General features: G+C 41.7%; 1 protein-coding gene and 1 long non-coding RNA gene across 4 annotated transcripts in view; both read left to right on the forward strand.

Annotated features, from left to right (window-relative positions):
- Positions 1 to 8,808, forward strand: part of LOC107985675 (uncharacterized) — a 528,885-nt gene extending 520,077 nt beyond the window's left edge. For 2 of the 3 annotated variants that reach the window (XR_001755783.2, XR_001755782.2), the window contains one exon: positions 7,239 to 8,808. This is a non-coding gene — a long non-coding RNA (uncharacterized LOC107985675). The remainder of the gene's footprint in view (positions 1 to 7,238) is intronic. The other variant, XR_001755784.2, reaches the window with a different exon arrangement.
- Positions 8,809 to 17,253: 8,445 nt separating this feature from the next.
- On the forward strand, positions 17,254 to 18,934 carry VCX3B (variable charge X-linked 3B). The gene is made up of 3 exons (NM_001001888.4): positions 17,254 to 17,414; positions 17,729 to 17,976; positions 18,169 to 18,934. Exons 2-3 carry the CDS (start codon positions 17,875 to 17,877, stop codon positions 18,805 to 18,807), a joined length of 741 nt encoding a protein of 246 aa, NP_001001888.3. The 5' UTR covers positions 17,254 to 17,414; positions 17,729 to 17,874; the 3' UTR covers positions 18,808 to 18,934.
- Positions 18,935 to 22,781: the final 3,847 nt, after the last annotated feature.

Below are 22,781 nucleotides of genomic sequence, written 5' to 3' on the forward strand. Positions count from 1 at the left end.
TATTAAACCACAGGATATGTCCATCTGACAGGAAGTTGTGTGATGGCTCCTAAGGTCAGGCATCATTTTGCCTTTTGAGTGACAGAATTCTTCTCCCAAAGCAAACAACATGAATTTAGCTGCTATCTTATTTTAGACGTGTCTGTATGATACAAAATGACACATATGAATTGAGGATTTATAGGAGATGAAGCCAGGAAAAGCACTGGGAGAAAAGTGGAAGAGTCACTCAAAATAGAATGAATATTTAACATGTATAATCCTTTAAATAATGAAATTCATTATTTAATCATTAAGTGTGAATGATCACATTTAGAATAAACATGATCACGACTTCTACTTCCAGAGGGCCCAATGTCTAGTTCAGGCATGAAGAAAATAGTTGAAGAATGCTCAAAATGTTGTTTGTATATTTTCTATGTTTGATTACGAGAAACAAAATTGGGAATGTCTCTGGTAATTTTAATAGTTAATGGAGCTATTGCAAGAAATGCACCAGTGGGAAGACAGGAGGGAGAGAAGGTTTCCCAGAAAGCAGGTTTCTATTAAACCTTGCCATTTCTCTTGAAAACTCTCAAAGCCGCAAAAGAACAATAAACAAATTGATATTTTCCATGGGGTACCACTGTGAGTGCAAAGACCATGGAGAAATTGACTAGTCAGACAGCAAATATGTACTGAGAGACAGACTTGGAGTTAAGACTGTATCCTAAACTTATTTTATAAAAGTTGTGTTTTGTAGCCAGGATAACATGTTTTAGGAGAAGAAGCATTTTATAATAAGGACTCTGTGTGGGTTTCATTTTGAAAAAGTAGCTTACTGTGCTTAAGCAAAGGGCCAATGTGTGTTTTTCAGGTCCTCTTACCTAAAAGAAGAGTAACTGTTGGTATTTCTATGTGAAAACTCAAGACTAGCATCTTGTGCTGTAAGCAAAGTGAAGACATGTGGCTGTAAGCACTCACAAAATATATTGATATAGAGTCATCACCTGTTGATGTCATTCATACCCAGAGACAGGAAGCATAGGAACAGTGTGAATTATATGAGGCATCCCATTTATAAGTGACAAGCAAAAATAGTCACTGTGTAAATGTGCAATGCTAAATAGCAGTAGTCAATGAAGCAACAGTCAAAGGGGGAACACAGGAACAGATTCTATAAGATTTCTATGGAAGGGCTGGGCGTGGTGGCTCCCACCTGTAATCCCAGCACTTTGGGAGGCCGAGGCGGGCGGATTACCTGAGGTCAGGAGTTCGAGACCAGCCTGGCCAACATGATGAAACCCCGTCTCTACTAAAAATACAAAAATTAGCCAGGCGTGGTGGCACATGCCTGTAATCCCAGCTACTCGGGAGGCTGAGGCAGGAGAATTGCTTGAGCCCAGGAGGTGGAGGTTGCAGTGAGCTGAGATCGTGCCACTGCACTCCAGTCTGGCCGACAGAGCGAGACACTGTCTAAAAAAAAAAAAAAAGGAAAGATTTCTATGGAAGAAGAGATTGATTTCCAACTGGAATAGTGAGGAAAGCCTTTCTGGAAGATCCCAGGCCGTACCCGGCTCTGCAGATGCATTGCTGAGTTTTTGCCATGCCGCCTTCAGTGTTTGCTAACTCCTGTTTGTATATGTAAACTGCTCTTCGCTGCTCTCCTAAAACAGGCATTCATTTTCTTGGTGTGAATTTTTCAAAAAGGAATACACACCTATATATTGTGCATCTGCCAAGCATTCAGAACTGTGCTGCATTTGGGAGTCCTTGAATGCGCCCAGCTTTGCAACCAGAAGTATTTCAACATTGTTTTAATTAAGCCCACATTAGCCTTGCTTTGGTGCAAGAAATATGATATTATGTGTGAGGATATAAACATCAGCTGTCAATGAATGGCTCCTTCATTCCCTTGGCAAGTATCATTTGAGTGTGTCTTGTCACGGTTTTGGACTAGACAGAACTAATTCAGCAAGCAATCCAGGAGCCAGCAAGGAATGATCAGAGTAACACAAAACACTGATGTGAAATGCAGGGCAAAATGAATACATAAATTAGAGATGTGGTCTGAGATGAAGGGAAGCACACATCTCTGAAATATTCTGGGTACAGGTAGAATTTAGTTTCTGAGTGTTTTTGATAAATAATAAGAGAATTTCATCAAAGAGAAATCAAAGAGTGCCCTACAGACAAAGTAGCTTTTGAGCCCTTCAGATAGAATTTGAGTTAAAGAAAGCATAAATGTGCTCTGGGTGGAATTTAAAACAAAGAATTGGAAGCATTTTAAAATTGCTAAGAGTGTAAATTTCAGATGTTCTCACTACCAAAAAAATGGTAAGTATTTGAGGTGATGGATATGTGAATTAGCTCAGTTTAATTATTCCATATTGTATTCATAAATCATAACATCACTTGGTACCCCATAAATATATACAACTATAATTTATTAATTTTCAATTAAAAATAGACACTGAAAAACAGAATTAGAAGCAAACTTGCCTAAGTATATCGAATGTCTTCCTTCCCTCACATTTCAGTGTGGGCTGGACTTAATGACTAGCTTCCAAAAATTAGCATATGGGAAGGGGGAGATGGTAGCTTCAAGGTAGAGAAGCCAGGCAAGCATTACCTTAGCCAGTGACTTCATGTTCATAGCATGCACTTGTGATTAAATATCAGGAAAAGGACACCTCACCTCTGAGGTCTCCTTCTCTAAGAGAGAAGAAACACCACAGTCTCATCAGCTCAGTCATCCCAGTCTAATCATGAGAAAAACAGCAGGTAAATTCAAATTCAGGGCATTCTGCAAAATGCCTGACCAGGGCTCCTCGAATCTGTCAAAGTCATCAAAAACAACAACAACAACAACAACAACAAGACAGTCTGAGAAATTTTCACACCCGGCCTTGACTATGGAGAAATGGCTATATGCAATGATAAATCCAGGACTGAGTCCGAGAAGAGAACATGGGCTTTGAAAGGAAAACTAGCAAAACCCAAATAAAACCTTGTGTTTAGTTAAGACTAATGTACCAACATGGATTCATTAGTTGTGACAAAGGAACCACAGTGATAGAAAACTTTAACACTAACGGTAGATGAGTGAGCAGTAGATGGAACTCTCTGGACTATCTTTGCATCTTTTTTGTAATCCTGAAACTGTTCTATATATATATATATACATATATATATGTGTATATATATATGTATATATATATGTGTATATATATGTATATATATGTATATATGTATATATATACACACACGTATATATACACACATATATATTAAATACATATACATATATGTATATATATTAAATATGTATATATACATATATGTATATATTAAATATGTATATATACACATATGTTTATATTAATATATATTAAATATGTATTAATAAATTAAATAATATATATATTTTTTAAACTAGAGGGAATCATTGCCAGGGGAGGAGGCAGGGAAATGAGGAATGAAAGGCAGGAATTGGGGTTTGTGCTGTCACAGTAGGAAGACGACCCATTGTTGACGGTGAGCTGATTCAAGGATGAGGGGGTAGTTAGGAGGTTGGTGAACCAAAGACTAAAAGGTTATGAAGGAGAACCCTGTGCAAAGCTGAAGAGGCAGGAAAGAAATAACTACAGAAGGAGTTTGGTAGAAAGAACTGGTAAATTTTGTACTGGAGAATGGATGATGAATTTGATAGGGAATCACTGAAAGATGAAGGTTTGAGCCTGGCTGCCTGGGGAAATTGCAGTGTCATTTGCAGAAATGAAGTCATGCCAGGGAAAATCGAGGCAAGAGGAGGAAGGATTCAGTTTGGGACATGTTGACTTAGGAAAGGAGAGGACATCCAAGTGCAGGTAGATGTAATGACTTGATAAGTAATTTTAAAGGGATGTCAGATGCAATTAAACAAAACAATGTAACCTAAGACAAACGTGGGGAGAAATACATGTTGGAACTCTGAGCTGGAGTCATAGGGAGAAGGAACTCACTGAACTCCAGCAAGAACGTAAAGGGAGGTTTGGAGGAAAGAGCTGAGGGCAGTCTTGGGGAGGCAAAGAATGGAGTTCCAAGAGGATCACAGGTCAGGCACAATGGCTCATGCCTGCAATCCCAGCACTTTGGGAGGCCAAGGCTGCCGAATCACTTGAGGTCAGGAGTTTGAGACCAGCATGGCCAATATGGAGAAACCCTGTGTCCGGAATTGGCGGGTTCTGGGTCTCACTGACTTCAAGAATGAAGCCACGGACCCTGGCGGTGAGTGTTACAGCTCTTAAGGTGGCGCGTCTGGAGTCTGTCCCTTCTGATGTTCAGATGTGTTCGGAGTTTCTTCCTTCTGGGGGGTTCGTGGTCTCGCTGGCTCAGGAGTGAAGCTGCAGATCTTCGTGGTGAGTGTTATAGCTCATAAAAGCAGCGTGGACCCAAAGAGTGAGCAGTAGCAAGACTTATTGCAAAGAGTGAAAGAACAAAGCTTCCACAGTTCCACAGTGTGGAAGGGGACCCGAGCGGGTTGCCAATGCTGGCTCAGGCAGCCTGCTTTTATTCTCTTATCTGGCCCCGCCCACATCCTGCTGATTGGTAGAGCCGAGTGGCCTGTTTTGTCAGGGCGCTGATTGGTGCGTTTACAATCCCTGAGCTAGATACAGAGGTTCTCCGCGTCCCCATCAGATTAGTTAGATACAGAGTTTCGACACACAGGTTCTCCAAGGCCCCACCAGAGCAGCTAGATACAGAGTGTCGATTGGTGCACTCACAAACCTTGAGCTAAACACAGGGTGCTGATTGGTGTATTTACAATTCCTGAGCTAGACATAAAGACTCTCCACCTCCCCACCAGACTCAGGAGCCCAGCTAGCTTCACCCAGTGGATCCCGCACCGGGGCTGCAGGTGGAGCTGCCTGCCAGTCCCGCGCCGTGCGTTCCCATTCCTCAGCGCTTGGGTGGTCGATGGGACTGGGCGCCGTGGAGCAGGGGGTGGTGCTCGTTGGGGAGGCTCGGGCCGCACAGGAGCCCATGGAGTGGGTGGGAGGCTCAGGCAAGTCGGGCTGCAGGTCCCGAGCCCTGCCCCGCAGGAAGGCAGCTAAGGGTCGGTGAGAAATCGAGCGCAGCACTGGTGGGCTGGCACTGCTGGGGGACCCAGTACACCCTCCGCAGCCAGTGGCCCGGGTGCTAAGTCCCTCATTGCCCGGGGCCAGCAGGGCTGGCCGGCTGCTCCGAGTGCGGGGCCTGCCAAGCCCACGCCCACCCGGAACTCCAGCTGGCCCGCAAGCGCCGCACGCAGCCCCGGTTCCCGCTCACGCCTCTCCCTCCACACCTCCCTGCAAGCTGAGGGAGTGGGCTCCAGCCTTGGCCAGCCCAGAAAAGGGCTCCCACAGTGCAGCGGCGGGCCGAAGGGCTCCTCAAGTGCTGCCAAAGTGGCAGCCCAGGCAGAGGAGGCGCCGAGAGTAAGCGAGGGCTGTGAGGACTGCCAGCACGCTGTCACCTCTCAACCCTGTCTCCACCAAAAATACAAAAATTAGCCAAATGTGGTGGTGAGTACCTTTAATCCCAGCTACTCTGGGAGGCTGAGGCAGGGGAATCACTTGAACCCGGGAGGCGGAGGTTGTTCCAGCCTGGGTGACAAATCAAGACTTCATCTTTAAAAAAAGTGGGGGGAGGGGGGAGAATTGCAGGACTGCCGCAGTCACAGGCTCCACTAGCAGTGGAGAGGGGAAGCAGTGCAAGGAGAAGATTGTTCAGCCTTGACACAGTTGACATTTGGGGCTGGATGATTCTCTGTGGTGGGGCGTGTCTTGTACATTGTAAGATGCTTACTTAGCAGCACCCCTGGCCTCTGCCCACTAGATGCCAATCCACCCCTCCTCTAATACGGACAATGCAAAATTTCTCCAGACTCTGCCAACTGTCCCCTTGGGGATGCAGTCAACTTAATCGAGGACCACTGATTTTGAGTTAAACTTCAGTTTGTGAGAGAGAGAAAAGTAGAGTGCAAAAAAAAAAAAAAAAAGAGAAGGAAGAAGGAGAGATCATTACATCTATTTCTGCTTTGTAAAAATCTCAAAATCCAGCCATTAGCATGGGTACATTTAAAAATATCTCCTCATAGTATCTGTGGGATGAATTTTGTAGACAGGAAATCTGTGCATTGTGTGTGTCCTTTCAACAAAGCTGAAGTTTCACAAGGACTAATTTCCTCTGCTAGTGGAAAGAATGATTCTATTTTTGCAGGCCCAAATCCCAGGCTGAGCTGCCTCCCGGGCCACACACAGAGCCACAAATGCCCAGGAAAATTTATTCTCTCTGTGCATGAGGTGGCACTGTTTGCAGAAGGGTACCGCTGTTTATAACAGATGTTAGAAAAACAGGTTCACGATGGCAGCCAACAGAGCAAGGCAGTATTTTCCAAAGTGTACATTGCCCACCTGGTTTTTTGTTTGTTTGCTTGCATGTTTGCCTAATAGCTCAATTCTTACAAGCTCCTTTTCTGCTCAAGCATCTCACTGGGAGTGTATGACATCCTAATGCAGCCAAGAATGTTATGTGTGATAAGACATCAGAGCCAAGGCATTCCAAAAAAAGGGTAGCTATTTCTAGAAGCTTCACTGACTCTTTCTAAACAAGTCACTCAGTATTAGCAAATTATTGCTTTGAGTCTCCTAAAACGGGCACCCTCATCCTGTACCACTGGAACGGTGTGAGGAGAAGAGCTCTTCACCTCTGTGATATTCTGCCCGGTAACCCAGAACCACAGTATAATGTTCACAAAAGCATCTGGTAAACCCAGTCCAATCAAGGGACATTCTACAAAATATCTGAGGAGTACTCCTCAAAATTGTCAAGGTCATGAAGACAAGGAAAGACTAATTAATTGCCACATATGGGAGGAAGCCAGTGAACTGTAATGACATGATCTCAACATGGGATTCTGAATTGAATCTTGGAACAGAGAAAGGGAGCCCATGGAAACACAGAGGAAATCCCAATGAGGTCTGGAGTTTAGCTCATAGTAACTTACCAATGTTAATATCTTCATTTTGACAGATACTCTGTGGTTCCATAATATGTTAACATTAGGGGAATATGGGCGAGGGGTTCGTGTTATCTCTCTGCACTGTCTTTCCAGCTTTTCTCTATATCTAAAATTATTCAAAAATTAAAAGTTGATGCAAAGGAAACAGAACCCCTAAAAGAGACTGGAAATGTAAACATTTTATATTCAAAATGTATTAACTGAAAATCTGTTACAGATCCAGTTCTGAATCTCGTTAGCAAGTTCAAAGCAAGGCCAAGAAGATGCAATTCCCACTGGAAACCTTATGAGACAGTTAGAAGGGAAGGGGAGCAAATGTTCACCAGGTGAGCACTGGAACGCAGCCACTGCACAAATGCAATCCTGTTCTATTCTCACAGCAATCTTCCATGAGAAGTATTTATTACTATACATGAAGAAACTCAAGCTCTCCATCATTAGGTCACTGTCCAATATCACACAGCTGCATATAACAGGTTTGAATTCAATTTCCTCTGTGTCCAACTGAAAATCCCACAATTTCCACTCACGGCATCCTCCCACCCAGTGCAGGTTTGGTGCAAAAACGTAGGACACAGGAGAGGAAATTGAGTTTAGGTAAGACTCAGAAAATTGACGAGTTTTCAAATTAGGAGAGGCATGAAATGAAGAGGAGAAGGAGCAGCTGGGAGCGTGGAGAAGCATAAACTCCGAAATAACTGGCTAAGGAAAATGGGGATGCACAGACTGTGGCATAGAAGCACTGAAGAGGGGAGGCATGGATTGGAATGATACAGGCTGTGTCAATATAGGGTCTGTCACAAACAAGCTATGTAAATGTGAGAAAATTAACCACTCTAACTTCACATTCCCCCTATGGAAAAAAAAAGGGGGGGGGGCAGGGGCTAAGGATGTCTATTTCAAACCATGTGGCAATTAAATAAAACAATCTATGTAACTCTAGTAGCCTCATGGTTGGCACATTACATGCATTAAAATGCACATTTCTCTCCCTTTCATGGAATCCCCTGATGCATCCCCGAACCTTTCTCGGTAGGATTTGGAATGTGCATGCACAGATTGCGGATAGATAGACTGCCACCCTCGTCATTGCAGAAGGAAACTTGTGAGTTATGCCCAGTGCAATTCTTTCCAACTCTGATTCCACTGTGGTTACTGCTGATGGACTCTAGGTGGCCACAGATGATACAAACATGTTCCCATGGAGCCTCATGTCATCCTGACATGCTGTTCCAGTCTAAGGTAACTGCTGTTCTTCAGTTTAGAAAAGGAGCAACTGTTTTGGATACATTTTCAGTGCCAGAACTCTTTCTCCACTGCCTTAGACTTCTCAGTGGTGAAGTGAGAAGGAGTTTTGACAGCTACAGAGCAACATTTCCAAACGAGAAAAGAAAACAAGGCAAACTTTTTATAAATTATTCAAATAATATGTTAAATTCAAGGAAAAGAAAATTTCCATTTTATGGTGAAGACTGATGTTTCCTAAGTCTATTGGTAAGCTGAGAAACTGCTCTGTGAGCTCTTTCATTGAAAATATTGAATGACCACAGCTGTTAAATCTTGCTAAAGGTGTCCTCAGTTCACACTACAACATGCTTGGGTGCAGGGTCTGGAAGCAATGACAAATCAGTGAGACTCCAACACTGAGCTGAAATGTTCTGTTTTTGCAGTGACATCAGACCTTATTATTGCCCCTGTCTTCCTTCCGTCCTTCCCTCTCCAGGTGTAACTACTAACCCTTACTTGACTTATATTACCTCTATATGAACTTTCATACTTTTTTTTTTTTTTTTAGATGGAGTCGTGCCCTGTCTCCCAGGCTGGAGTGCAGTGGCCCGATCTCGGCTCATGGCAACCTCTGCCTCCCAGGTTCAAGTGATTCTCCTGCCTCAGCCTCCCGAGAAGCTGGGACTACAGGTGCCTGCCACCATGCCCGGCTAATTTTGGTATTTTTAGTAGAGACGGGGTTTCACCATATTGGCCAGGCTGGTCTTGAACTCCTGATCTTGTGATCCACCCACCTCGGCTTCCCAAAGTGCTGGGATTACAGGCATGAGCCACCGCACCCAGCCTTTGAACTTTCATACCTTTAGTACACAAATGTATCTGTAAATAATAAATAGGATATTCAATATGCTTATGTTATTTAGATGACATCCTATACCATAAAGGTTATATAGATAGAAATTATTTATTTCTATATATTCTATTCTATATATTTATGTCGACAGATCATATTTTATAAATATATATTCTATATATTTGTGTCTAGATCATATTTTATAAATATATATTCTACATATTTACATCTATACTACAAAGAATATATGGACATAAGGGTGGCATAAAGAACTTATGTCCATATATTCTTTTAGCTTGCCTTTTTTTGCACAAAATGTCATGTTTAAGTTTCAGTCATGCTGATAGATGAGGGCAAAATTTGTTTCATTTTAAGAGCAGGATATATTTTATTATAGGTATATTCTACAATGTATTTATGCATTCTCCTCTCAATGAACATCTAAGTGGCTTCCAGATTTTTGCTATTACACACAAGGTTGTAATTTGTTTACACAAAGCTTGGGGCTCAAATCCAGAGATATTGGATTGCAACGTGGGTGTCAAGATTTTCAATAGTTCCCTGGAAGAACTTAATGGGCATCCAGGCTTCCTCAGTCAGACTCCATCCAGGCCAACTTAATCAGATTTGGAGGGGGATGTTTAGGTATTACTTTTGTGAAAGAACCCCTGAAGAGATTCTAACAGGAGCCTAGGATTGAGATAAGCCCCTCCTCTAGAGAAACTCTTGCATTTGCTGGACAAGGAATAATGCGCATGAATGTGTATTGTGCCATATTCTAGAGCAGTGATTCTCATGTACAGTCATGGCAGAGAACTTCTGTTCTAGAATATAAGCATGGTAATGGCATTTCCAGGTGTTTCAAGTGGTAGGGATACATACATCTTTAACTTTCCTCAATATTGCTAATTGCCCACCAAAGAAAAGATCGATTACATATTTCTATCAACACACGGCATTACCACTGTTTGCAAATGGAAGTGCATTCCTTTGTGATATTTTGTAATCCCTTGACTCTCAGTGACACCAGACTTTTTGTGATTACTATCCATTTGGGTTTTGTCTTCAATACATTTTATTCCATATAATTTGCCCATCTTTAAATGTCTTGAGGATTTTTTAAATTACTAATTTGTTGGGTATAAATATGTGTATATCATCTAGAAACTATCCAAGTCAATAAATTGAAGTTACACATGTGCTCTTCTGTTCTGTATCTTAATTTTTACCTTATTTATGATGCTTTCCATTGTGCAAAAGGAAATAGTGTCCCTGTGTTTGTCCATTTTCATGCTGCTGATAAAGACATATCTGAGACTGGGAAGAAAAAGAGGTTTAATTGGACTTACAGTTCCACATGGCGAGGGAGGCCTCAGAATCATGGCAGGAGGTGAAAGGTACTTCTTACCTGGCAGTGGCAAGAGAAAATGAGAAAGAAGCAAATACCGAAACCCCTGATAAACCCATCAGATCTTGTGAGACTTATTCACTATCATGACGATAGCATGGGAAAGACAGGCCCCCATGATTCAATTACCTCCCACTGGGTCCCTCTCACATGTGGGAATTCTGGGAGATACAATGCAAGTTGAGATTTGGGTGGGAACACAGCCAAACCATATCATTCCACCCCTAGCCCCTCCAAAACTTCACATTTCAAACCAATCATGCCTTCCCAACAGTACCCCAAAGTCTAAACTCATTTCAGCATTAACCGAAAAGTCCACAGTCCAAAGTCTCATCTGAGACAAGGCAAGCCCCTTCTATCTATGAGACTGTAAAATCAAAAGCAAGCTAGTAACTTCCTAGATGCAATGAGGGTACAAGTATTGGGTAAATACAGCTGTTCCAAATGGGAGAAATTGGCCAAAACAAAGGGGTTGCAGGGCCCATGCAAGTCCAAAATGCAGCAGTGCCATCAAATTTTAAAGCTCCAAAATGATCTTCTTTGACTCCAGGTCTCACATCCAGGTCATGCTGATGCAAGAGGTGGGTTCCCATGGTCTTAGGCAGCTCTGCCCCTGTGGCATTGCAGGGTACAGCCTCCCTCCTAGCTGCTTTCATGGGCTGGCATTGAGTGTCTGCAGCTTTTCCAGGTACACAGTGCAAGCTGTCAGTTGATCTACCATTCTGGTGTCTGAAGGTCTGTGGCCCTCTTGTCACAGCTCTACCTGGCAGTACCCCAGTAGGGCTCTGACCCCACATTTCCCTTGCACACTACCCTAGCAGAGGTTCTCCATGAGGGCTCCACCCCTGCAGCAAACTTTTGCCTGGGCATCTAGGAATTTCCATATATCTTCTGAAATATAGGCAGAGGTTGCCAAACCTCAATTCTTGACTTTTGTGCACCTGAAGGCTTAACACCATGCAGAAGCTGCCAAGGCTTGGGGCTTCTGCCCTCTGAAGCCACAGCCCAAGCTGTACATTGGCCCCTTTCAGCCACGACTAGAGCGGCTGGGACACAGGGAAACAGGTTCCTAGGCTACACACAGCACGGGGACCCTGGGCCTGGCCCATGAAACCACATTTTCCTTCGGGGCCTCCAGGCCTGTGAAGGGAGAGGCTGCTGTGAAGGTCTCTAACATGACCTGGAGACATTTTCCCCATGGCCTTAGGGATTAACATTAGGCTCCTTGCTGCTTCTGCAAATGTCTGCAGTGAGCTTGAATTTCTCCCCAGAAAATGGGTTTTTCTTTTCTATCACATAATCAGGCTGCATATTTTCCTAGCTTTTATGCTCTGCTTCCCTTATGAAACTAAATGCATTTAACAGCACCCAAGTCACCTCTTGAATGCTTTGCTGCTTAGAAATTTCTTCTGCCAGATACCCTACATCATCTCTCTCAAATTCAAAGTTCAACAAATCTGTAGGGCAGGGGCAAAAAGCCACCAGTCTCTTTGCTAAAACATAACAAGAGTCACCTTTGCTCCAGATCTCAACAAGTTCCTCATCTCCATCTAAGCTCACCTCAGCCTGAATTTTATTGTCCATATCGCTATCAGCATTTTGGACAAAACCATTCAACAAGTGTCCAGAAGTTCCAAACATTTCCACATTTTCCTATCTTCTTCTGAGCCCTTCAAACTGTTCCAACCTCTGCCTGTTACCCAGTTCTAAAGTCATTTCCACATTTTCGGGCATCTTTTCAGAAACGCCTCACTCTACTGGTACCAATTTACTGTATTAGTCCATTTTCATGCTGCTGATAAAGACATACCCGAGACTGGGAAGAAAAAGAGGTTTCATTGGACTCACAGTTCCACATGGCTGGGGAGGCCTCAGAATCATGGCAGGTGGCAAAAGGTACTTCTTAACATGGTGGCAGCAAGAAAAAATGAGGAAGAAGCAAAAGCAGAGACCCCTGATAAACCCTTCAGATCTCGTGAGACTTAATTCACTATCACGAGAATAGCACAGGAAAAACTAGCCCCCATGATTCAATTACCTCCCCCTAGTTCCTTCCCACAACACAGGAATTCTGAGAAATACAATTCAAGTTGAGATTTCAGTGGGGACACAGCCAAACCATATCAAGCTATGTGAAGTTAAAACCAGGTACTATGGGTGTTCACTAGATTTCTGGTTCTCATGAAGGTGTTTTTTTCTGTGTAAATATTTGTTAAATTAGTGTCTTTGCAAGAGGGCCAGGGGAATAATCGGTGAAGCCTTCTATTCTGCCATCTTGCTCCTACTGTAGATCTGTAGTATATTTTGAAATACACCTTTGTAGTATATTTTGAAGTCAGGTAGTGTGATGCCTCTTGGTGTGTTCTTATATGGGCCCGGTTTGTAGAGTCCTAAAGCAATTATAATAATAACATCAAAGATCACTGATCAGAAATCATCATAACAGATATAATAATGATGGGAAAGTTTGAAATATTGTGAGAATTACCAAAATGTGACACAGGGACATGAAGTGGGCACCTGCTGTTGGAAAAATGACACTGACATGCTCAACAGACAGTTGCCAGAAACCTTCAATTTATGTATATTAAAAAAACACAATATCTATAAATGCAATAAAGTGCATCACAATAAAACAAGGTCGACCTGTACCTGCCAGTACCCAGGTAATTAGTTTACTATGAATAAGTAATAATAGCTAGAAAAACTAAACACAAAAATTTTTAAAACACTGTCTTCTCAAGACACAAAAAAATGGAAAGATAGTCCATGCTCATAGATTGACAGGATTAATATCGTTAAATTGACAATACTCCCCAAAGCAATTTGCAGATTCAATGCAATCCCTATCAAAGTACCAATGACATACTTCACAGAAATAGGAAAATACTTATAATATTCATATGAAACCATAAAAGACCTCAAATAGCCAAAGCAATCCTGAACAAAAAGCAGAAAGCTGGAGGCATCACACTACCTGACTTCAATATTTACTACAAAGCTATAGTAAACCAAGCAGCATGGTACTGGCATAAAAACAGAAACAGAGACAAATGGAACAGAATACAGAACCCAGATATAAAGCCACATGCTTAAAACCAACTCAACTTCAACAAAGACACGAAGAACATATGATGCTGAAAAGACAGATATTTCAATAAACAGTGGTAGGAAAGCTGTATAAGTATATGCAGAAGAATGAAATTAGATTTCTATCTCTCACCACACATAAAAAGCAAATAAAAAATGGATTAAAGACTTGACTCTGGTTGGGCATGGTGACTCAAGCCTGTAATCCCAGCATTTTGGGAGGCTGAGGCGGATGGACCACTTGAGGTCAGGGGTTTGAGACCAGCCTGGTCAACATGGTAAAGCCCCGTCTCTACTAAAAATACAACAATTAGCCAAGCATGGTGGTGCATACCTGTAATCCCAGCTACTCAGGAGGCTGAAGCATGAGAATTGCTTGAACCCAGGAGGTAGGGGTTACAGTGAACCGAGGTTGTGCCATTGCACTCCAGCCTGGGCCTGGGCGACAGAATGAGACTCTGCCTCAACAAAAAACAAAAACAAAAAAAAAAAGACTCAAAACTATGACTTGAAACAGAAACGACCAGAAGAAAACATTGGGGAAATGCTCCAGGACATCAGTCTGGGCAAGGATTTCTTGAGTAAGACTTCAAAAGCACAAGAACCAAAGCAAAAGTAAACCACTGGGATTACATCAAGTTAAAAAGCTTCTGCATAGCAAAGGAAATTATCAACCAAGTGAAGAGACAACCCACAGAATGGCAGAAAATATTTGCAAACTATACATCTGATAAGTGATTCATAACCAGAATACATAAGGAGCTCGAAAAACTTAATAACAAACAATCTGACTTAAAAATGGACAAATAATCTGAATAGGCGTTTCTCAAAAGAAGACACAAAAATGGCCATCGGGCATATGAAAATATACTCATCACGAATCATCAAAGAAATACAAATCAAAACCACAATGCCATATCATCTCACCCCAGTTAAAATGGCTTTGATCAAAAGGACAGGCATGAAAGGTTGCTAGCAAGGAGGTGGAGAAAGGGGAACCCACTTTGTACACTGTTGGTGGGAATAGATATTACTGTAGCCACTATGGAGAAGAGTATGGAGTTCCTCAGAATCCTAAAAATAGAACTACTATATGATCTGAGTATTCCACTGCTGGAATACTTGCTCACGTGTATTGCAGCACAAGTCACAATAGCCAAAATATGGATTTAGCCTAAGTGCCCATCAATAGACAAATGGATAAGGAAAATGTGGTATATGTACACAATGGAATATTATCCAGCCATAAGAAGAATGACATACTGTCATTTGCAGCAATATGGATGGAACTGGAGGCCATTATGTTAAATAAAATAAGCCAGGCACAGAAAAACAAATATTGCATGTTTTCACTCATACATGGGAGCTAAAAAAGTGATTCTAATGAAAACAGCAACTATAGTGATGGTTACCAGAGGCCAGAAGGGGAAGGGGGGGTGAAGGGGAAGGGGGGGGGGTGAAGGGGAAATAAAAGAGTATAAATGTATTTATTACCACTGAACTGCACACTTACAAGTGGTAAAGAGGGTACATTATATATGTATATTTTACTTCAATAAAAATAAATATTAAAAATAAAATCACTTTCTTCTCACCACTTACTGCTGAATTATTGCTGGAATAATGAGTTAGTACTACAGGTAAGTCATGTACCTAAGTAAGTAGTAAAATAGAGACAACAAGAATAGTTCAGTGGAATGTAGAACATAGGGAATCTAGTCTGGTCAGATAAAATTTTGTTGGTGTTGAGTTAATATATAAGTTTTACTTAACTGGGCTTTCCCATGAAACTCGTTACATAGAAAGAGCCTACAGTCATTACAATACCAAATGAACCTGATTCTGAAAATCATGTTCTTTGCAACTCTCAATTATCGGTTTTAATTGAGATAAGAACTTACAAGGGTAGGTGCTGAATATTACCCAGGAAAAAAAGTTACAAAGAATAACTGGAGATAACTTGAATCATCTATGTGATGCCAAGAAAAAGGAAAATCCTTCCTTATCATTCCACTATTTTTTGTTGAAATAATAAATTACCACAGACATCTGGTGGTAAACATGTAATTAGCAACCTAAAGATAGCTAGAATTCGCCAGACCAAGTAATTGATCCCAGGAAGCTGAAGATAACTGGCCTATGCCAGGGAGTTCAATAACCATTTTCCTCAATGCAAAATTCCAACCTCATGTTAGAAATATTACCTCATACAATAGATATCTACTTTATCCAAGTGAGTAATTAACTAGAGATAGCTACATGAAGCCAGTACTTGTAATAAATAAATTCTTCACAGTACTACTTCTTATGTCTCTGTGACATAAAACTAAACATTTAGTGGTACCTAGGCAAACAGCTGAATAAACAACTAGCAATTACTAGGAAAACTGGTTGAATATAGAAAGTTTAGTAACCATTCTAGTCAATTCTGTGTTCTTACATTTTTACGATTGTTTACTACGTACTGTGGATATGGTAACTAGAGTTACCTGGGTAAGAGTTAAATACAGAATCCTCCATAAAACTAAAATAACTGATTGAAGACAAGAAGCATAACATTGCATTCTTCTCAACATTTCTCATTTCTTGTTGGAATAATGAGTCAGTTCTGTCAGTGGGTAGTAGTACCTAGATTATTACAAAGCAAGAAATAAGAAGAGATGGCTAGAATAGATATTTGATACCAGAATGGTGAAAAAAAAACATTCTTTTCAAATAGAAACTCTAATTTCCTGTGTGATTAATGAGTTACACTTAGTTAGTACTGGAGATATCTGTGTAAGATGTGGATTTCATTGTGGGAGTGGGGTACCTACTCAACAGATGAACTGCTGGGTCACATGGTAGATCTATTTTGATTTTCCAAGGAACCATTACACTGTTTTTCATAACGGCTGTACCAATTACACGTCTGTCAACAGCGTTTAAAGGTCCCGTTTTCTGCACACCGTAAAAGGGTTTCACTTTCTCCACACCTTTGCCATCATTATCTTTTATCTCTTGACTTTTTTATAATAGCCATCCTAACAGGTGTGAGGTGATAGTTCATTGTGGTTTTCATTTGCATTCTCTGATTATTAACGATGTTGAGCACATTTTCATATACCTGTTGGCCAGTTGTGTGTTTTCTTTCTAGAAATGCCTATTCAAGTCCTTTGCCTATTTGTTAACCAGACTATTTATTTATTTGCTATTGAGCTGTGTGAGTTCTTTATATATTTTGGATATTAACTCATTATTAGATATATGGTTCGCAAATAGTTTCTCCCAAACCGTAGCCTTTTCATTTTGTTGATTGTTGGCTGTGCAGAAGCTTTTAGTTTCCAGCCTGCTCCCTTGCCCTATATATTTCAGCTTCCTAGACCCCCACATTGTGTGAAGGTGTGAGCCAATTACTTAGAGTAAACCGTATCATATATATAATATTATTGATAAATAAATACTATAGTATAGTAAACAGATGTTTATGATATATAATATTACAGACACTCTCTCTCTGTCTCACACACACACACAAATATCCTGTTGGTTTAGTTTCTCCTTCTCTGAGGAACCCAGCCTGATACGGATACCCAGCTGAGCGAGTGTGTTTGCTGATCTTGACCTCTGGAAGCCAGTGCTTTAAACCATGAGAATGAAAAATTGTGAGGCACTATGTGGATGCTGGGAGAAGTATGTGAGATGGAAAAGTTGTTTCATGGCATCCAAGAAGTGAATGATCCTCAAGGTGTAGCAGAGGAATTTGTAGGAGAGAGGGATGATTGACATCTTCGTGTAGCCCTCCATCCATCCCAGTTAGCATGGAGGGATTTTAGGTAGGTCATACAGAAACCGGGTAATGATGGCAGGTGTGGAGGAACAGAATGTACCACTGAATGGGAGGTCCGGGGGAAACATGTGGCGGAAATATCCTCCCGTGCCACGTGATCTGCCAAAATTGAACATGGGGAGTTTAGGAGGGGTGACATGTCAGTTTGGGAACTATCTTTAGGGGTGCTAACCCAAATCTCCCTTTCTCCAATTAGAGCACCCTGCCTTCCTCATTAGATGTCACCCCCCCCCGCCCCCGACTTCATCCGCCATGTCCTGATGGTGCTTTGTGACGTATAAGGCCTTCCTTCCCGCCCAGGGCTACCATTGGCTGGGTAGTGGAGTGTTGACCAATCACAGCTCAGGGGCGTGATTGTCTCGTCCTGGGATCGCGAGAGGTGTATATACAGGGAGGCCAGGCAGCCTGGAGTTAGTCGACCGTTGCGAGACGTTGAGCTGCGGAAGATGAGTCCAAAGCCGAGAGCCTCGGGACCTCCGGCCAAGGCCAAGGAGGCAGGAAAGAGGAAGTCCTCCTCTCAGCCGAGCCCCAGTGACCCGAAGAAGAAGGTGAGTGACCCTCCCAAGCTCCTCCTCGTCTTCCCCTCGCCTCCTTCCTCACAAGAAGCCTCTCCTGTCGTCACTTGGCACAACCCCCCAACCCGGCCCCCACCGCTTCTGAGGACACGTCCCTGTTCCCAGCCTCCTCCATCCTCGTCCCTAAACCGGAGCCCTTCTGTGATCTCCCTGTTGTCCTTCCAGACTACCAAGGTGGCCAAGAAGGGAAAAGCAGTTCGTAGAGGGAGACGCGGGAAGAAAGGGGCTGCGACAAAGATGGCGGCCGTGACGGCACCTGAGGCGGAGAGCGGGCCAGCGGCACCCGGCCCCAGCGACCAGCCCAGCCAGGAGCTCCCTCAGCACGAGCTGCCGCCGGAGGAGCCAGTGAGCGAGGGGACCCAGCACGACCCCCTGAGTCAGGAGAGCGAGCTGGAGGAACCACTGAGTCAGGAGAGCGAGGTGGAAGAACCACTGAGTCAGGAGAGCCAGGTGGAGGAACCACTGAGTCAGGAGAGCGAGGTGGAAGAACCACTGAGTCAGGAGAGCCAGGTGGAGGAACCACTGAGTCAGGAGAGCGAGGTGGAGGAACCACTGAGTCAGGAGAGCGAGGTGGAAGAACCACTGAGTCAGGAGAGCCAGGTGGAGGAACCACTGAGTCAGGAGAGCGAGGTGGAAGAACCACTGAGTCAGGAGAGCCAGGTGGAGGAACCACTGAGTCAGGAGAGCGAGATGGAAGAACCACTGAGTCAGGAGAGCCAGGTGGAGGAACCACTGAGTCAGGAGAGCGAGATGGAAGAACCACTGAGTCAGGAGAGCGAGATGGAAGAACTACCGAGTGTGTAGACGGCCAAGTACTCCCCTATCTCCGAGAGCAGCGACTAAGTTCAGGCCCAGCCGCCAGACCTCAGAGATCTCACCAGCGGGGTGCTTGCCATTCTGATGATAATAAAATGAATGTGTTGCAAATTGATCTGAGTGACTCTGTGTTCTCTGATGGTGGGGAGGGAGGGAGGGAGGGGGGAAGAGGTGGTGTGTGGGGAGGGAGGGAGGAAGAGGAGGTGTGTGGGGAGGGAGGGAGGAAGAGGAGGTGTGTGGGGAGGGAGGGAGGGAGGGAGGAAGAGGTGGTGTGTGGGGAGGGAGGGAGGAAGAGGTGGTGTGTGGGGAGGGAGGGAGGAAGAGGTGTGTGGGGAGGGAGGGAGGAAGAGGAGGTGTGTGGGGAGGGAGGGAGGAAGAGGAGGTGTGTGGGGAGGGAGGGAGGAAGAGGAGGTGTGTGGGGAGGGAGGGAGGAAGAGGTGGTGTGTGGGGAGGGAGGGAGGGAGGAAGAGGAGGTGTGTGGGGAGGGAGGGAGGGAGGAAGAGGTGTGTGGGGAGGGAGGGAGGGAGGAAGAGGTGTGTGGGGAGGGAGGGAGGGAGGAAGCGGTGGTGTGTGGGGAGGGAGGGAGGGAGGGAGAGGTGGTGTGTGGGGAGGGAGGGAGGGAGGAAGAGGTGGTGTGTGGGGAGGGAGGGAGGAAGAGGAGGTGTGTGGGGAGGGAGGGAGGGAGGAAGAGGAGGTGTGTGGGGAGGGAGGGAGGAAGAGGTGGTGTGTGGGGAGGGAGGGAGGAAGAGGTGGTGTGTGGGGAGGGAGGGAGGAAGAGGTGGTGTGTGTGTGGGGAGGGAGGGAGGAAGAGGTGTGTGGGGAGGGAGGGAGGAAGAGGTGGTGTGTGGGGAGGGAGGGAGGAAGAGGTGGTGTGTGGGGAGGGAGGGAGGAAGAGGAGGTGTGTGGGGAGGGAGGGAGGGAGGGGGGAAGAGGAGGTGTGTGGGGAGGGAGGGAGGAAGAGGTGGTGTGTGGGGAGGGAGAAAGGAAAGAAGGAAGGAATAGGTGGTGTGTGGGGAGGGAGGGAAGTGGGGTCCCGTGGGGTTGAGGTCACAGGGACAGGTCACAGTTAGCCAGACAGGAGGATAAGGATTGCGTCATGGCTGAACACTGGAGACAAATTTCCCCTTCACAGGATGACTCCGCTTCCTGTAAGGTTTGTTTCTTCATGCAATCTTGCTAGCACATACACCAAGTACCAAGCACTGGATTCTACCTACTTAGGTTTCATTGTTAAAATACGTTTGCGGTTATAGAAACCGATGGAAGAATCGTTTCCATCTCTTTCCTTTCAGCGTCCCCTCCCTACACTCTAATATAATTAAGAAGAAAAATTCAAAGTAGAGCAAAATCTGTCTACTTGAAAAGAGTCTTTTTATTTTTGCGACTGAGGAGACAAAAAGTATATTTCATATTTCCATTCATTAGAAATACACAGGTCTTTTCTGAATATAGTAGAATTTACTATATAGAAATATACATAAATATATGTAAATAAAATGTAATATACAACTGTATTTGCTGTATACAAACACGTTAGAAATACACAGGTCTTTTCTATATATACTAGAACCTACCATATATATTTATATATTAACATGTATTTTTATATTTTTATATATATAGATTGTATATAGAAATATTTATATATAAATACCTATAGAAAACATTTATATGTATATATTATAATCATTTATTTTAGAAGGTAAGGGTTTATGCTTGTTGAAGCATGGTTCACAGGCAAAAAGAGAAAGGAAATTATCACTTTCAGAAGAATAAAGTACAAAATTATCACGATTCAATACCCAGCTGTCAATAATTGCAATGAGAGTATAATATAGTAGAACTTTTTATTTATAGAAAAGACCTGTGTATTTCTAATGTGTATATATGTAATCTACATTTATATATAATTATATAAATGCACAGGTCTTTTCTATATATGGTAGAATTTACTACTGTATTCCTAATGTGTGTGTATATTTATATATATATATAAAATCTGTATTTATAAATATTTATATAAATGCACAGGTTTTTATATAAACACACAGGTCTTTATACAGAAAAGATCGGTGTGTTTCTAATGTGTATATGTATATATAATTCATATTTGTCTATGTATTATATACATATAATCTATATATTTGTATATTTATGTATTTATTTATCTATTTTATGTATTCATATAGATAGGTTTCATATAAAGATTTTATATATATAAATATTTATATTCTATATAGATTTTATATATATAAATATATTCTATATAGATTTTATATATATAAATATTTATATTCTATATAGATTTTATATATATAAATATTTATATTCTATATAGATGTTATATATATAAATATTTATATTCTATATAGATTTTATATATATAAATATTTATATTCTATATAGATTTTATATATATAAATATTTATATTCTATATAGATGTTATATATATAAATATTTATATTCTATATAGATGTTATATATAAATATTTATATTCTATATAGATTTTATATATATAAATATTTATATTCTATATAGATTTTATATATATAAATATTTATATTCTATATAGATTTTATATATATAAATATTTATATTCTATATAAATATTTAGACATCTGTAAAATATATAAGCATTTTTATATTTCTATATAATACATAAATATATAATGTATAAATATAAATATATATTATATATAAAATATCCTATATGTGATCATTTATTTTAGAAGGTAAGCTGTTAGTATTGTTGAAGCATGCTTCTCAGGAAAAAGGAGAAAGGAAATTATTTTAAGAAGAATAAAGTACAAAATTATCACGATTTAATTTCCAGTTGTTAGTAATTACATGGACAGAATAACTCATGTCCTTTAATCCTACAAAGAATAGCACGTTAAACTTTTATGTGATTCTGAAAATATGAATTTCCATATAATAAGTGTTTGTGATGTAAAGCACTAATTTTATAGGCAGTTTTCACTTGTTACATAGATTGTTCTTATAGCTTTAAAGACGTTAAAATTAATGGTGGCTTTGAAGAGATGGTAGCATCATTTGAGAAACAATAAATGGGTTCTGTTTCATCCTTTCCTTGGTGCAGTCAGGGCTTCACTTCATTAGCTTAGGAAGGGATTTCAGAGCTTTGCATGTTGATCTTGTAGCTGCCTCCTATGGAATCCTACGAAACCTAGGACGCTATACCACAGAAACAGGGCGTTGCCCCATGTCCTGAGCACCATCATTTTGTGGTATATTTCTTTTGTATTTCTTGTATGGAAATACCATATAAGGATGAGCATGCTTGGTATAACTCAAAGCCTGTTTATTTGCAAGGCTGTATTGACCCTGAACAATAAATACATGTGTGTTATGGATGGGAAACAAGTCCGAATGAAAAGCTGCTGTCTTTTAGGAAAGCCTATTGGCTGTGGTTGTATATATCTTTCCAAAGGGAAATTGGTGAACTTCCTGCTATAGTTTTTTCCATAATGACAGCATAAAACTAAAATAAACTGAATCTTGTCAGTGGTCACTTTTGGGTTTGATGAATATTACGGAGCAACGTTGCAGTGTATTTTAAAATTATACTCAAGAATTCATTTTGTGCACCTTATTTTAATGCCGTATTTCCATTCAAGCTCTGCAACCCAAAACAGTCTGTGTTGATTCTTTTGGCATTGAAAAAATTATCCATGGGTTTATTTCATCATTTCATGGCAGTAGGAGCTTCAACTGCTATTTGTTGGGAACCCATCCTGACTAGCTATTTCACTGGGGCTTCATGTTTTATTGTGATGATTGGCAGACTTGTGTTTCAGGAATTTTTGGCTTTGGAAAGTTACTATGATTTTGAAATTATAGATGCAAAAATGTCACTGAATTTATTTTCACAAACTGTTTTAATTCATTATAGACAATAAGTGGTTTAATCAGAAATCAATAATTTAAATAATCTTTTAA

This window comes from Homo sapiens, chromosome X (assembly GCF_000001405.40).
Source record: "Homo sapiens chromosome X, GRCh38.p14 Primary Assembly".
Lineage (NCBI taxonomy): Eukaryota > Metazoa > Chordata > Mammalia > Primates > Hominidae > Homo > Homo sapiens.